The sequence below is a fragment of the Homo sapiens genome, chromosome 11 (assembly GCF_000001405.40).
Source record: "Homo sapiens chromosome 11, GRCh38.p14 Primary Assembly".
In the NCBI taxonomy this organism is placed as follows: Eukaryota; Metazoa; Chordata; class Mammalia; order Primates; family Hominidae; genus Homo; species Homo sapiens.
The window spans coordinates 73,788,749-73,802,622 of record NC_000011.10 but is presented as its reverse complement, the minus strand read 5'-3'; the positions used below and the strand labels follow the sequence as shown (position 1 = coordinate 73,802,622).

The 13,874-nt window shown below is 45.6% G+C and overlaps 1 protein-coding gene across 9 annotated transcripts in view, besides 1 other annotated feature; it reads right to left on the bottom strand.

Moving 5' to 3' along the window:
* MRPL48 (mitochondrial ribosomal protein L48) overlaps nt 1-13,874 on the bottom strand; it is a 77,260-nt gene that overhangs the window by 62,511 nt on the left and 875 nt on the right. For 2 of the 9 annotated variants that reach the window (NR_134660.2, XM_047427121.1), the window contains exon 2: nt 13,133-13,288. The exons of 6 other annotated variants lie outside the window; for them this stretch is intronic. The gene's annotated coding sequence lies outside the window, so the exon portion shown is untranslated. Of the gene's footprint in view, nt 1-445; nt 543-13,132; nt 13,289-13,874 lie in introns of all 9 variants that reach the window. One more of the 9 variants, NR_134659.2, reaches the window with a different exon arrangement.
* Nucleotides 4,982-5,501: an enhancer, noted in NCBI's record as "H3K27ac-H3K4me1 hESC enhancer chr11:73508167-73508686 (GRCh37/hg19 assembly coordinates)". NCBI's record gives its function as "activates a minimal SCP1, AML or CMV promoter by ChIP-STARR-seq in primed H9 embryonic stem cells {active_cell/tissue: H9 hESC(primed)}" and the evidence as "EXISTENCE:reporter gene assay evidence [ECO:0000049][PMID:30033119]".

Below are 13,874 nucleotides of genomic sequence, written 5' to 3'. Positions count from 1 at the left end.
ATCTTGAAAACATTATACTAAATAAAAGAAACCAGTCACAAAGGACCAAATATTACATGATTCTATTTCTGTGAAATATCCAGAATAGTGAAATCTATGGAGAAAGGAAGTCAATTAGTGGCTGCCTGGGGCTGGAAGGGCTGGGGAGCTGTGGATGACTGCTAAGGGGTATGGAGTTTTTTTTTGGGATGATGTTCTCAAACTGTAGTAATGGTTGTACAATTCTGTGAATATAATAAAAGCTACTGAATTCCACACTTTAAATAGGTGAATTGTAGGTTATGTGAACTATATTTCAATAAAGCTATCAAAAAATGTATGCACAATCTCTGTCCTTCAGGCATCTGGATGGCTGGAGACACAGACATACATTTGTATTAAACAGCTAAGCAATATTGCAGGCATTGTATGAAGTCAAAATAGGTGGTGCGAACAACAAGCACACCTGGCAGGAAATCCAGGGGGAGATGGCTAAGAGAAATCCTTAGCTTTTGCAGAGTTACAGACGTTGCTGAGGATCTGCTCAGTCATGAACCCTCTTCCTAGACAAATGCATATAAGCAAGGATATATAAAGAGTTTGCCTACTACTTCAGGAGATTCACCAAAACTCTTATCATCACCCAAGAACCCCTATGCTAAACCAAGAGATCCTCAGAGCAAGGGTCATGTCACTTTCCTCTCAGGCACATTGTAGACAATCAAGGTTTGTTCTGATGAATAAATGATTAGAAAGAAGTGAATAAATGATAATCATTGCTACCATATATTAAGCACCGACATCTACTTTGTTGAGCACCTACCATGTGTCTAAATCATAATACCTTTACAAGATAAGCATTATTATCACCACTTTACAGTTGAGGAAACAGATTAAGTAACCTACCCAAAGTCACACAACTACTATTGAAGCTAGCCTAGGGTCTTGGGTTTCTCTGACACCAAAATCCATAATTTCCCCACTATTCTACACCTTTTCTCACATAAATGAAGATGTTAGTGCTTAGGAAATTAGGAGGCGGAAAGATAAAACTTAAGAAAAGTCTCCCAGAGGATGTAAAACCATGAAGATTGGGAAGGATGTGAATAGACAGAAGGGCAAAATGTGCAGATGATCCCAGAAGCACAATTGAATCAGGTACTAAAAGACTTTGTAAAGTATGTGTGCAATACACTTAACCTAATATTGGTCAGCATAAAAGACAGAGTAGGAAACTGGGGCCCCAGGAGAGGTCAGGCCAGCTCCCCCAACCACTAGCTATGTACTTTGAAGTTAGATCAGAGGACTCTAAAGTCTCTCCAGGGCCGGGATCTATTAACCATGACAAACAATAGAAATGAGAGTGAACAGAATATATTTTTAAATGGGTCACTTCATATAGAAGAGGGACTGGATGGGAAAAAAAGATCAAAATGAGACTGCTTTCTCATTTTAATTGTTCAGATTTCTGAGTCTGTACAATAACCAAGGTTTTAATTATCTAAAAGCCAGGCTTAAGAATTGACAACTTTCGGCCAGGCCCAGTGGCTCACGCCTGTAATCCCAGCACTTTGGGAGGCCGAGGTGGGCGGATCACCTGAGGTCCGGAGTTTGAGACCAGCCTGACCAACATGGAGAAACCTCGTCTCTACTAAAAATACAAAATTAGCCGGGCGTGGTGGCGCATGCCTGTAATCCCAGCTACTCCAGAGGCTGAGGCAGGAGAATGGCTTGAACCCGGGAGGCGGAGGTTGCTGTGAGCCGAGATCACGCCATTGCACTCCAGCCTGGGCAACAAGAGCGAAACTCCATCTCAAAAAAAAAAAAAAAAAAGAAAAAGAAAAAAGAGTTGACAACTTTCTGGAAGACATTCAAATTATGGTATGAACTCTCCCGGTCAGCTCTGGGAAATGTGCTTCCTCTCCCCTGCAATGCTTGGCATTATTTATCCAGACAAAAGTAATCTATTTTGGGACTGTATCTACAATTACCCTCTCCTCCCCATCAGCAAATGAAGAGCAGCTCTGGCCCTGCAAGTGGAAGAGGAGGATGGTGACGCCAGCGAATGAATGAATGAGGACACAGATGCTGCACTGGGTAACAAAAATACTCCCATGAGCCAGGAACCAAGCAAGGACTGCACAACTACCAAAAAACTGAAGTCACAGGGCAAAATCTAGAGCATGTGAGTAGCTTAAGACATCAGAGTCTGGAGTGGGTGGTGAGAGCAGTGGGTCAGGGGTCTTTGATGCAAGCAACTGAGAGCTGTTTCATGAAAGTAACAGAATATATTTGTGTATTAATAAATATTATTTAAAATAGCATTGTTACTACCATTTATTGAGTCCTATTTACTAGGCACTTTACGCATACTATTTGTCTTTTTAATTTTTTTTTTTTAAGAGACCGGATCTTACTATATTGCCCATGCTGTCTCGAACTCCTGGCCTCAAGCAATCTTCCTGCCTTGGCCTCCCAAAATGCTGGGATTACAGGAGTGAGCCACCAGGCCTGGCCCATATTATTTCAATTAATTGTTACAGCAACCCTCTCTGATGGGGCATTATTGAGATAACTGGCTCTATTTTACACAGGAAAAAAAAGTTTATGTAAATTGCCCAAAGTTATAGGTTTGGTAAGAGAAATTCAAACCCAGGTCTGCCTGAATCCAAAGTCCATCCCTTCTATTCTTCCACACTACCTCTCAAAAAACTGATACCAATTTATACTAATGAAGTTCATAGCTAATGATAATAGCCATTCAAAAATCCTACCATTTACTGAGCACCTGCTATATGCCAAACACCATCTCCTTTAATCCTCACAACCATTCTGTGAGGCATAGTTCTTTGTATTTTCTTTTATATAGATTTAGGGAGTACAAGTGCCATTTTGTTAAATGGATACATTGCTTATTGGTGAAATCTGGGTTTTTAGCGTAACCATTACTCAAATGATGAACATTGTACCCATTAAGTAATTTCTCATCCCTCATCCCCCTCCTGCCTTCCCACCCTTCCAAGTCTCCAGTGCCTATGTTCCATGCCTGTGAAGTAGATATTTCTACCGCATTTTATAGTGAGGAAATCAAAGCTCAGAAAAGCGAATTAACATGCCTAATGCACACAACTAATAAGTCATGTTCTAGCTGACCCCACAATCAGAGCTCTCTCTACTACTATATACTATATCCTATACTCCTGTTGCAAAGCAAGTCGGCTATTACATGACAGCTCTTATTTTATTCCAAGATGAACAACACCTTGATCTATATTCCAATTCTTTTGTTTTTGAGACAAGGTCTTGCTCTGTCACCCAGGCTGGGGTAAAGTGGCATCACCATGGCTCACTGCAACCTCGACCCCCTAGACTTAAGCCATTCTCCTGCCTCATCCTCCCAAGTAGCTGGGACTACAGATGTGTGCCACTACACTCGGCTAATTTTTTCTTTGTAGAGATGGGGTTTTGCCATGTTGCCCAGGCTCTACATTCCAAAGCTTACAAGGAGTTTACTCTCATCTTAGGCATCCTGGAAAAGCCCAGTCCCTGCCTAAGTTCATTTATCAGAAGCTTCAAATTCTCCTTACTGGCTTTCCACTCTCAGTGCCCACCACTACCTTCCTTTCTTTTCTTTCTTTTTTTTTTTTTTGCTTGAGAGGGAGTCTTGCACTGTTGCTAGGGCTAGAGTGCAATGGTGCGATCTCAGCTCACTACAACCTCCGCCTCTCAGGTTCAAGCGATTCTCCGGCCTCAGCTTCCTGAGTAGCTGGGATTACAGGTGCCTGTCACCAAACCCGGATAATTTTTTGTATTTTTAGTAGAGACGTGATTTCACTATGTTGGCCAGGCTGGTCTCCAACTCCTGACCTCGTGATCCGCCCACCTCAGCCTCCCAAAGTGCTGGGATTACAGGTGTGAGCCACCACATCCAGCCTCACCATTACCTTTCCCACGTACGCAACCAATACTAGCCTCTCTGTCTATAATGATCCATCTGTTACTTAAATACCTCCCTGGTCAAAACTGAAACATTTTCAGACACTGCTAACTATCTGAATGTTCTCCCACATAGAAAGCCCAAACCCATCTCCCTGTAACTTCTACGGTTTGTGCCTAGTTCCCCACTCTGACATCATACAAAGTAAGTTCAGTTCTTGTTTTTCATACAAGAAGTCAAACCCTTCATGTATTTGAAGGCAATAATCATTGCCTCCAGGTTTTCTCAAGTTCTTTTAAAAATTGTTTTTGTTGGCCGGGCGAGGTGGCTCACATGTGTAATCCCAGCACTTTGGGAGGCTGAGGCGAGCAGATCACCTGAGGTCAGGAGTTTGAAACCAGCCTGGCCAACAGGCTGTATTTTGTAAAAGGCTGTATTTTGTATTTTGTAAAAATACAAAAATTAGCCAGGCACAGTGGTGGGCGCCTGTAATCCCAGGTACTCGGGAGACTGAGGCAGGAGAATCACTTGAACCCAGGAGGTGGAGGTTGCAGTGAGCCGAGATTATGCCACTGCCCTCCAGGGCGACAGAGCGAGACTCTGTCTCAAAAAAGAAAAAAAAAATTGTTTTTGTTTCCAGTCTTTCCTTTAGCCATAACCTTCTAAACATATTTATGTTGATTATCAAAGTCTGCCTTTGGATTGGGTCCTTATGGCTGTTAGGAGCACAAGTTTTATATCCAAACCCAAACACAAATTTGTGTTTGAATATCAGCACTTCCATTTTACTAGCTGTACAGTCCTTGGAAAGTCAGCTGGCCTCACATATTGTTACGGGATTTTTGGAGTGTCATTTTTCTGGCCGGAAAAGTCTGTGGCTGGTGGCATCTTTGCCCGAATTTTGCTCTGGTCCACTGGGCTTGTTTCACCCACTTGTCTTGGCAGGCTGTCCTCCGCTCACACTACCAGCCTGGGTCCCACGCCTGCCAAGGGCAAGTCAGGCATAGGCCAGTGAGGGGTATGTGAGTGAGCATGGGGTCTGGCCAATGTGCACAGTCAGACATGCCGGCTGCTGCAGCAGGGCGGGCAGCTGCAGGTGCTGGCACAGGCACTGGCTCTCTGCGAGGCCGGACCAGGTGCACCACAAGCAGCTTTCACAGCTGGCACTGGGGAACACGTGGCGCTCAGAAGCTTGGAGATGCCAGCAACCACAGGGCTCCAAGGAGGGAGTCACAGCCCTGGCTCAGGGAGCTCCCAGGTCTGGGCTCCCTGAAGGGCTGCAGCTCTTCTTTCCTTCTCTTCACCCACAACCTGGTGAAAAAGGGGCACATCTCAGCCCTGTTTCTGTTGCAGCTCTTTTAGCCCTGCCATTAAACAGGTCCCAAGTTCTTGTCCTGCAACCAGAACAAATGGAGTATGCAGACAAGCGGAGGGTGAGCAAGACAAAGAAGAGCTTTATTGAGTGGCAGAATAGCTCAGAGGAGGACCTTGGAGTGGGCAGCTCCTCTCTGCAGGCAGGTCGTCTGAATGTCTTCCCAGCTCTCAGCAGAGAAGTCTCTAGAGTGGATAGCTCCTCTCTGCAGCCGGTTGTCCCGATGTCTGTTCAGCTCTGGCTGAGCCCAAGGTTGGTTTGTTTGCTTTTTTTTGAGACAGTCTCACTCTTTTCACCCAGGCTGGAGTGCAATGGCGTGATCTCACTGCAACCTCTGTCTCCTGGGTTCAAGGGATTCTCCTGCCTCGACCTCCTAAGTAGCTGGGATTACAGGCGCCCACCACCACGCTCGGCTAATTTTTTTGTATTTTTAGTACAGATGGGGTCTCACCATGTTGGCCAGGTTGGTCTCAAACTCCTGACCTCAGGTGATCTGCCTGCCTTAGCCTCCCAAAGTGCTGGGATTACAGGCATGAGCCACTACACCCAGACCCAAAGTTTTTATGAGCCTCAGAGGGAAGGAAGTACATGTTGATTTGTCCATGGGTGGCCATGGGCAGGCCTGGAAAAGGTACCGTTAAGTTCCCACTCCTGTCCACGGGACTGGCAGCCTAGCCCCAGACTTCAGGCACTCCCTGGCCTGAAGGTGGGGTCTCAATGGGAACCTGCCCCCTTCTGCCCAGGAAGCTGTCTGCCTCTCACTGCCATTCATAGTGCCCTGTAGGTGCCAAGGGGCACGGGCAGGCCACTGCTGAGCTGCCTTCAGCCCCGCTTTGGCTTCCCTCCTATGCCTGTTGGTGCCCAAAGTCCAGAGGGGGCCAAGGAGGCAAGAGGCTGGCGTGTCAGCACTGCCCCGAATGTGTGTACACCTGGCCAGGCTGCGACAGTACCTGGGCTTGGCCCCAGCTTTGCTCCAAGATCAGAGCTGGTGTCGACAGCAGGGAGAAGCCAGGCAGCAGGAGCAGACACCTCTGAGCCTGCGAGGGCTGGGGCAGCCTTCCTGGGCCCCACAAGAGTACACAGATGCCTGGGTCCGCAGTCACAGTTTGGGCGGCCGTAACTGCACTCGGAAGAGCGGAGCTCCTGCTTGCTCCGTGGAGCAAGAGGCCTAGATCCACAGCCATGACTTGGGCACCGCCCCAACTCGGAAGGGGCAGGGCTCCCACTTGTCCCTGGCTCTGACTGGCTCTGGCCACGCCTCCCTGCTGCAGCCAGAGTGATGGCAGCGGCCAATCCAGATGGCCCACGATTTCATTTATATGAAATGACTAGAATAGACAAATCATAGGACGGAAAGATGATTAGTGGGTGCTAAGGGCTGGGAGATGACAGTATGGGGAGTGACTACTTATGGGTAAGGAGTTTCCTTTTGGGATGGTAAAAATGTTCAGGAATTAAATAGTGGTAACAGTTGTACAACTTTGTGAATATACTAAAAACCATTAAATTATCTACTTTAAAAGTGAATAAGCCGGGTGCAGTGGCTCAAGCCTGTAATCCCAGCACTTTGGGAGGCTGAGGCGGGTGGATCACGAGGTCAGGAGATCGAGACCATCCTGGCTAACACAGTGAAACCCCATCTCTACTAAAAAAAAAAAAAATTAGCTGGGCGTGGTGGCGGGTGCCTGCAGTCCCAGCTACTGGGGAGGCTGAGGCAAGAGAATGGTGTGAACCCGGGAGGCGGGGCTTGCAGTGAGCGGAGATCGCGCCACTGTACTCCAGCCTGGGTGACAGAGACTCGGTCTCAAAAAAAAAAAGAGTGAATATTATAATAAATGAATTATATTTTTTAATTATTAAAAAAGAGTCACAAGAAAACTTTTATGACTGCTCAGACTTGCTTGGATCCTGCTGTTATACTTTAAAAAAAAAAAATTCAGAGATGAAGTCCAGGTGAAGTCAGACTTCATCAGAGATGAAGTCCAGGCTCACGCCTGTAATCCCAGCACTTTGGGAGGCGGAGGCAGGTGGATCACCTAAGGCCAGGTGTTCGAGACCAGCCTAGCCAACATGGTGAAACCCTGTCTCTACTAAAAATACAAAAATTAGCCGGGCATGAGGCCAGGTGCAGTGGCTCACACCTGTAATCCTAGCACTTTGGAAAGCCGAGGCGGGCGGACTGGCTGAGCTCAGGAGTTCAAAACCAGCCTGGGCAACACGGTGAGACCCCGTCTCTACTAAAAAAATACAAAAAAATTAGCTGGGTGTGGTGGTGGGTGCCTGTAGTCCCAGCTACTTTGGGAGGCTGAGGCAGGAGAATTGCTTGAACCCAGAAGGCGGAGGTTTCAGTGAGCTGAGGTCACACTATTGCACTCCAGCCTGGGCGACGGAGCAAGACTCCATCTCCAAAAAAAAAAAAAAAATTAGCTGGGCATGGTGGTGCATGCCTGTTATCCCAGCTACTCAGGAGGTCGAGGCAGGAGAATCGCTTGAACCCGGGAGGCGGAGGTTGTGGTGAGCCGAGATCATGCCACTGCACTCCAGCCTGGGCAACAGAGCAAGACTCCAACTCAAAAAAAAAAAAAAAGAAAAGAAGTAAATACTTGCCCTCATAACACAAGTGCTGGATGATACTTCTAAGCCAGAGCTGAGCTCCATTAAACTCAATTCCCTAACTAGATTCTCTTGAACAACTTAACCCAATTTTACAATCTTGTGGTCACCATCTAAAATGTTTGTTTGTTTGTCTGACCTGATTTAAATTTTTTTTTTTTTTCCAGAGATGGAGTTTCACTCTTGTTGCCCAGGCTGGAGTGCAATAACACGATCTCGGCTCACTGCAACTTCCTCCTCCCACATTCAAGTGATTCTCCTGCCTCAACCTCCCGAGTAGCTGGGATTACACACATGCGCCACCACGCCCAGCTAATTTTGTATTTTTAGTAGAGATGAGGTTTCTCCATGTTGGTCAGGCTGGTCTCAAATTCCCAACCTCAGGAGATCCCGCTGCCTCAGCCTCCCAAAGTGCTGGGAGTACAGGCGTGAGCCACCATGCCCGGCCTTGATTTATTTAATTTTATTTATTTATTCAGAGACAGATAGTTTAGATAGATAGATAGATAGATAGATAGATAGATAGATAGATAGATACAGGGTCTCACTCTGTTACCCAGGCTGGAGTGCTGTAGGGTGATCACAGAGCTCGCTGCAGCCTTGGCCTCCCGGGCTCAACTGATCCTCCCACCTCAGCCTCCCGAGTAGCTGGGACTAAAGGAACATGCCACCACACCTGGCTAATTTTTGTATTTTTTGTCAAAACAAGGTTTCAGGCCGGGCGTGGTGGCTCACGTCTGTAATCCCAGCTCTCAGGGAGGCAAGAGGTGGGAGGATAGCTTGAGCCCAGGAGTTCGAGACCTGCCTGGGCAATATAGCGAGACCCTGTTCTCCAGAAAAAGGGAAAAAAAAAAAAAAAAAAACACGAAACAAGGTTTCGCCATGTTGCCCAGGCTGGTCTCAAACTCCTGAGCTCAAGCAATCCACCCACTGCAGCTTTTCAAAGTGTTGGAATTATAGGCATGAGCCACCATGCCTAAATATAAATCCAATCCCTTACCTCAATTCTCACTCCCATACTATTTCTCTGCATACTCTCCCGTAATCTACACCCCAGTGCTTCTCTCCCTCCCAACTTCCTCTAGGAGTTCCTCTGGAACTCCAAGTGTGTTCTCATTTCAGGACCTTTACACATGTTCTTCTCCTTATCTGGAATATATTTTCTCTAAATCCTACCTACTCTTTAAATCTTAGTAGTCATGCAACGTCCTCAAGAAAACTTTTGTGACTGCTCAGACTTGCTTGGATCCTTCTGTTACACAGTCATATAGCACCCTGAATCTTTCATTTGCAGCATTTATCATAGTCAGTTAAGTAGTTATAAGTTTAATTAGTCCATCTGTTAATAAGCACCATGGCCAGGTGCAGTGGCTCACGCCTATTAATCCCAGCACTTTGGGAGGCCAAGGTGGGCGGATCACCTGAGGTCGGGAGTTCAAGACCAGCCTGACCAACATGGAGAAACCCCATCTCTACTAAAAATACAAAATTAGATGGGCATGGTAGTGCATGCCTGTTATCCCAGCTACTTAGAAGGCTGAGGCAGGAGAATCACTTGAACCCAGGAGGCAGAGGTTGTAGTGAGCTGAGATCGCACCATTGCACTCCAGCCTGGGCAACAAGAGCAAAACTCCATCTCAAAATAAATAAATAAATACATAAGCACCATGAAGACAGGAACCTGCTACATCCCAGCATCTAGCATACACTCTGGCACACAGCAAGTGCCCAATAAATATCTGCTGATCAAATTAGTAAATCCCTCTAAACCTCATTTCCTTATCTCTGAAGAGTTTATAAAAATATTTACTTCATAGACTTGTTGACATGATTAAATTAGATAACACATGAAAAGGGCTAACAAGTACAAGTTGCATTATTAATGGTCAAACTGGTAACAATGATGATAATGGTGGTGGTAATTGTTTGGTTCCTCATTTGTGAAACAATATGTACCTTAGGGTGTGACAGGTGCTGAAGATAAAACCATTAACAAAATAGAAAAGCTCCTCCAGGGCCTGTGGTCTAGTGGTGACCAGGAAATAGCCAACTTCTTGATTATTCTGAGCTTTTGGACTTCCTGCCCTTCTAGGTACTCTAAAATGTGTGTACTACTAGTTCATGTCTTTTAATGTCCTCCTAATTCTGTCTATTGAATGTATTTGGAGGACATTTTGTTCATATGAACTCTGTTCCACTTTAGCCTTCAAATGCTGAAATGTGAAAACATCTTATCTCTGAGATCAGTTCCCAAGGATGTTCCTTCTGGGCTGACATATTAGACATAACTTGGCACACCATTAGTGATCACAGAGTCTCCCCTAACCATACCCTTGTGGTTCAGGGGTAAGGTATTCCCTGAGAAAATAGTGGTTATCTCAGAGTGAGTGGCATCTAGACCTGAGCATGACACTCCAGAGCCATTCATTTTCTGTGCAAAATAACTGCAGGTGATTCAATACTCATTTCCTTGGTGCATTCTAACTTCCCTAGATACCATCCTGCCATCATGATCATCAGTACACTGATCTGATAAATATCAGCATGAATGCCTTATCTGGTTCCACCCTGCTGAACTCCTTCTGTTGACCCAAAGAGGTACTGGCTCTATCCAGTTTTATTCTAGCAAAGCTGGGCTTCTCACTCATCTAAAATTTGAGATGAAGTTAGGCACAGAAGGGCATGTCTGTTATCCCAGCAACCCAGGAGGCTGAAGTGGGAGGATCACTTGAGCTCAGAAGTTAAAGACCAGCCTGGGCAACATAGTGAGACCGTGTCTCAAAAATAAAATAAAATTTGAGATTATCTGCAGCCAGAAACTTCTTAGGGCCCCAAGGAAGGAGCACTGAATTAAGAGTTAGAAGTTCTAGTCCCAGCTCTACCATGTACTTACCAGGTAATATCAACATTTGTTTGTTCACTTATTCATTCGACATTTACCAGGTACCTACTTTAGGCCAGATACACTATAGGGTGGGTGCATATAGACAAGAATACAGTTGCAACCTGGCACAGTGGCTCACGCCTGTTATCCTAGCACTTTGGGAGGCCGAGGCGGGCAGATCACTTGAGTCCAGGAGTTTGAGACCAGCTTGGGTAACATGGTAAAACCCCATCTCTACAAAAAAATACAAAAAATTAGCCAGGCACGGTGGCATGTGCCTGTAATCCCAGCTACTCAGGAGGCTAAGGCGAGAGGATCGCTTGAGCCCAGGAGGCGGAGGTTGCAGTGAACTGAGATCACTCCACTGCACTGCTGCCTGGGTGACAGAGTGAGACCCTGTCTCAAAACAAAATTTAAAAAAAAAGAAAATATAGTTGCATACCCACAAAACTTCTAATGAGGAAAGCAGATGCACAAATTATTTATTATCCTATGTTAGATCAGTATAATGGGCTGTATGGGTTACAAAGAAGAAAAGGTCTGACACATAGGAAAGCCAGGAAAGGTTTTCATCCTGCATTTCACAGATGAGGAAAATCAAGAATATTATCATATTAGGGAGATGTAAAATACTCAGAAAAGAAAAAGCAGCGGGCCAGGCATGGTGGCACACGCCTGTAATCCCAGCACTTTGAGAGGCCCAGGCGGCAGATTGCTTGAGCCCAGGAGTTCCAGACCAGCCTGGGCAAAATGGCAAAACCCTGTCTCTACAAAAAATACAAAAATTAGCCAGGCGTGGTGGCAGGTGCCTGTAGTCCCAGCAACTCAGGAGGCTGAGGTGGGAGAATCACCTGAGCCCGGGATATCGGGGCTGCAGTGAACCAAGATTGTGCTACTGCACTACAGCCTGGGCAACAAAGTGAGACCCTGTCTCAAAAAAAAAAAAAAAAAAAAAAAGAACAGAAAAGGCAGTGGGATCTTAGGAGGGGTACAACTAATAATCTAGGTTTCATCCAGGAGTGGTGGCTCATATCTGCAATCCCAGAACTTTGGGAGGCCAAGGTGGGAGGACTGCTTGAAGCCAGGAGTTCGAGACTAGCCTGGGCTACAAAGCAAGACCCCATCTCTACTAAAAATAAAAAAATTAGCTGAGCGGCCAGGCACGGTTGCTCAAGCCTGTAATCCCAGCACTTTGGGAGGCCAAGGTGGGCAGATCACGAGGTCAGGAGATCGAGACCATCCTAGCTAACACGGTGAAACCCCGTCTCTACTAAAAATACAAAAAATTAGCCAGGTGTGGTGGCGGGCACCCGTAGCCCCAGCTACTCCAGAGGCTGAGGCAGAAGAATGGCGTGAACCCGGGAGGCGGAGCTTGCAGTGAGCTGAGGTCGGGCCACTGCACTCCAGCCTGGGTGACAAAGCGAAACGCTGTCTCAAAAAAAAAAAAAAAAAAAAAAAAAAAAGGCCGGGTGCGGTGGCTCACACCTGTAATCCCAACACTTTGGGAGGCTGAGGTGGGCGGATCCGGATCACGAGGTCAGGAGATAGAGACCATCCTGGCTAACATGGTGAAACCCCGTCTCTATTAAAAATACAAAAAATTAGCCGGGCATGGTGGTGGGCACCTGTAGTCCCAGCTACTCAGGAGGCTGAGGCAGGAGAATGGCATGAACCCGGGAGGTGGAGCTTGCAGTGAGCCGAGATCGCGCCACTGCACTCCAGCCTGGGCGACAGAGGGAGACTCTGTCTCAAAAAAAAAAAAAAAAAAAAAAAAATTAGCTGAGCATGGTGGTGTACACCTGTAATCCCCGCTGCTCATGAGGCTGAGTGAAAAGAATCACTTGAACCCAGGAGTTCAAGGATTTAGTAAACTATGACTGCACCATTGCACTCTAGCCTGGGTGACAAAGTGAGACCCTGTCTCTAAACAAAAACAAAGCCTAGGTTCCAGTCATTCATTCAAGCCATCAGTATGACATTAAAGTCTCTATTATATACCAGACATGAGGCTTCCATTTCCTCATCTGTTGCATCTGCCAGGATTATCTCGTGATATTGTGAAGATCAAATGAAATTGTGTAAATGAAAATTTATTAACTATAGAACAATATCAATATTATTATTTGCATCATCCTTCATTCCTTACAAAATATTCCTGTTTACATTATTCCCTATAGTCTCTACAATTCCATGTGGTGGGCATCATCTGCATTTTACAGATAGGAAACAGAAGCAGTAAAGTTAAATAACTTGCCCAAGGTCATAACAAGAGACAGAACTGTCTGACAAATCCCATGACCTTCCTTATAAATGTAAAGTATTAACTAACACTTTGAGACAGACTTACATTTGGCAAATAATGACGAGGTTAGCTGACTAAAGCAACTAAGGAGTCGGGAAGAGAACAGTGGCATCAGACGTCGAGAGGCCTTATATACCCATGTCAGATGCTGGCCTTAATGACAGATTTCCATGGGCTCTTTTCCAGGAGTTCCAGACCAGCCTGAGCAATATGGTGAAACATGGAGAACCGAATGGTTGGAAATAGTATTCCTTGAAAAATAATCCCTCCCTTTTAGCCCTTCTTGGAACCAAGGCAAATCAAGGAGTGTAGTCACCAGTGTGACCATCTTTAACAATGGAATTTTGAAACTTTCTGATTTTTTTTTCTATTATCTTGGCACCATATTTGGCCAAATTCTTACAAACTGGCTAAGGTGAACAAGTGAATTGTTTCATAAAGGATGAAGTGAGGCGTGGGCCCTCACACATTCAAGGGCAGCCCCAAGGTAACCACAGGTAGACCCATGAGCTGCAACGACCATGCTGACCTATGAATCATGGAAATATAGTTGCCACAATTAATGCCTAAAACAAAATTTTAATATAAATTGCTAAAATGAGTCATTAATCTAAGCAGCATGATACAATTGAAAGAGCACAAATGAAATCTGTTAAATCTGTTAAGGGAACGGGAGAAAGCCCAGGAACACATTTATAGTGGTTCATACGGTTTTATGACAGTCACTTAAATAAGGTTTTGGAAACGAAAATGTTGTTAATTATTGCAGGGCGCGGTGGCTCATGCC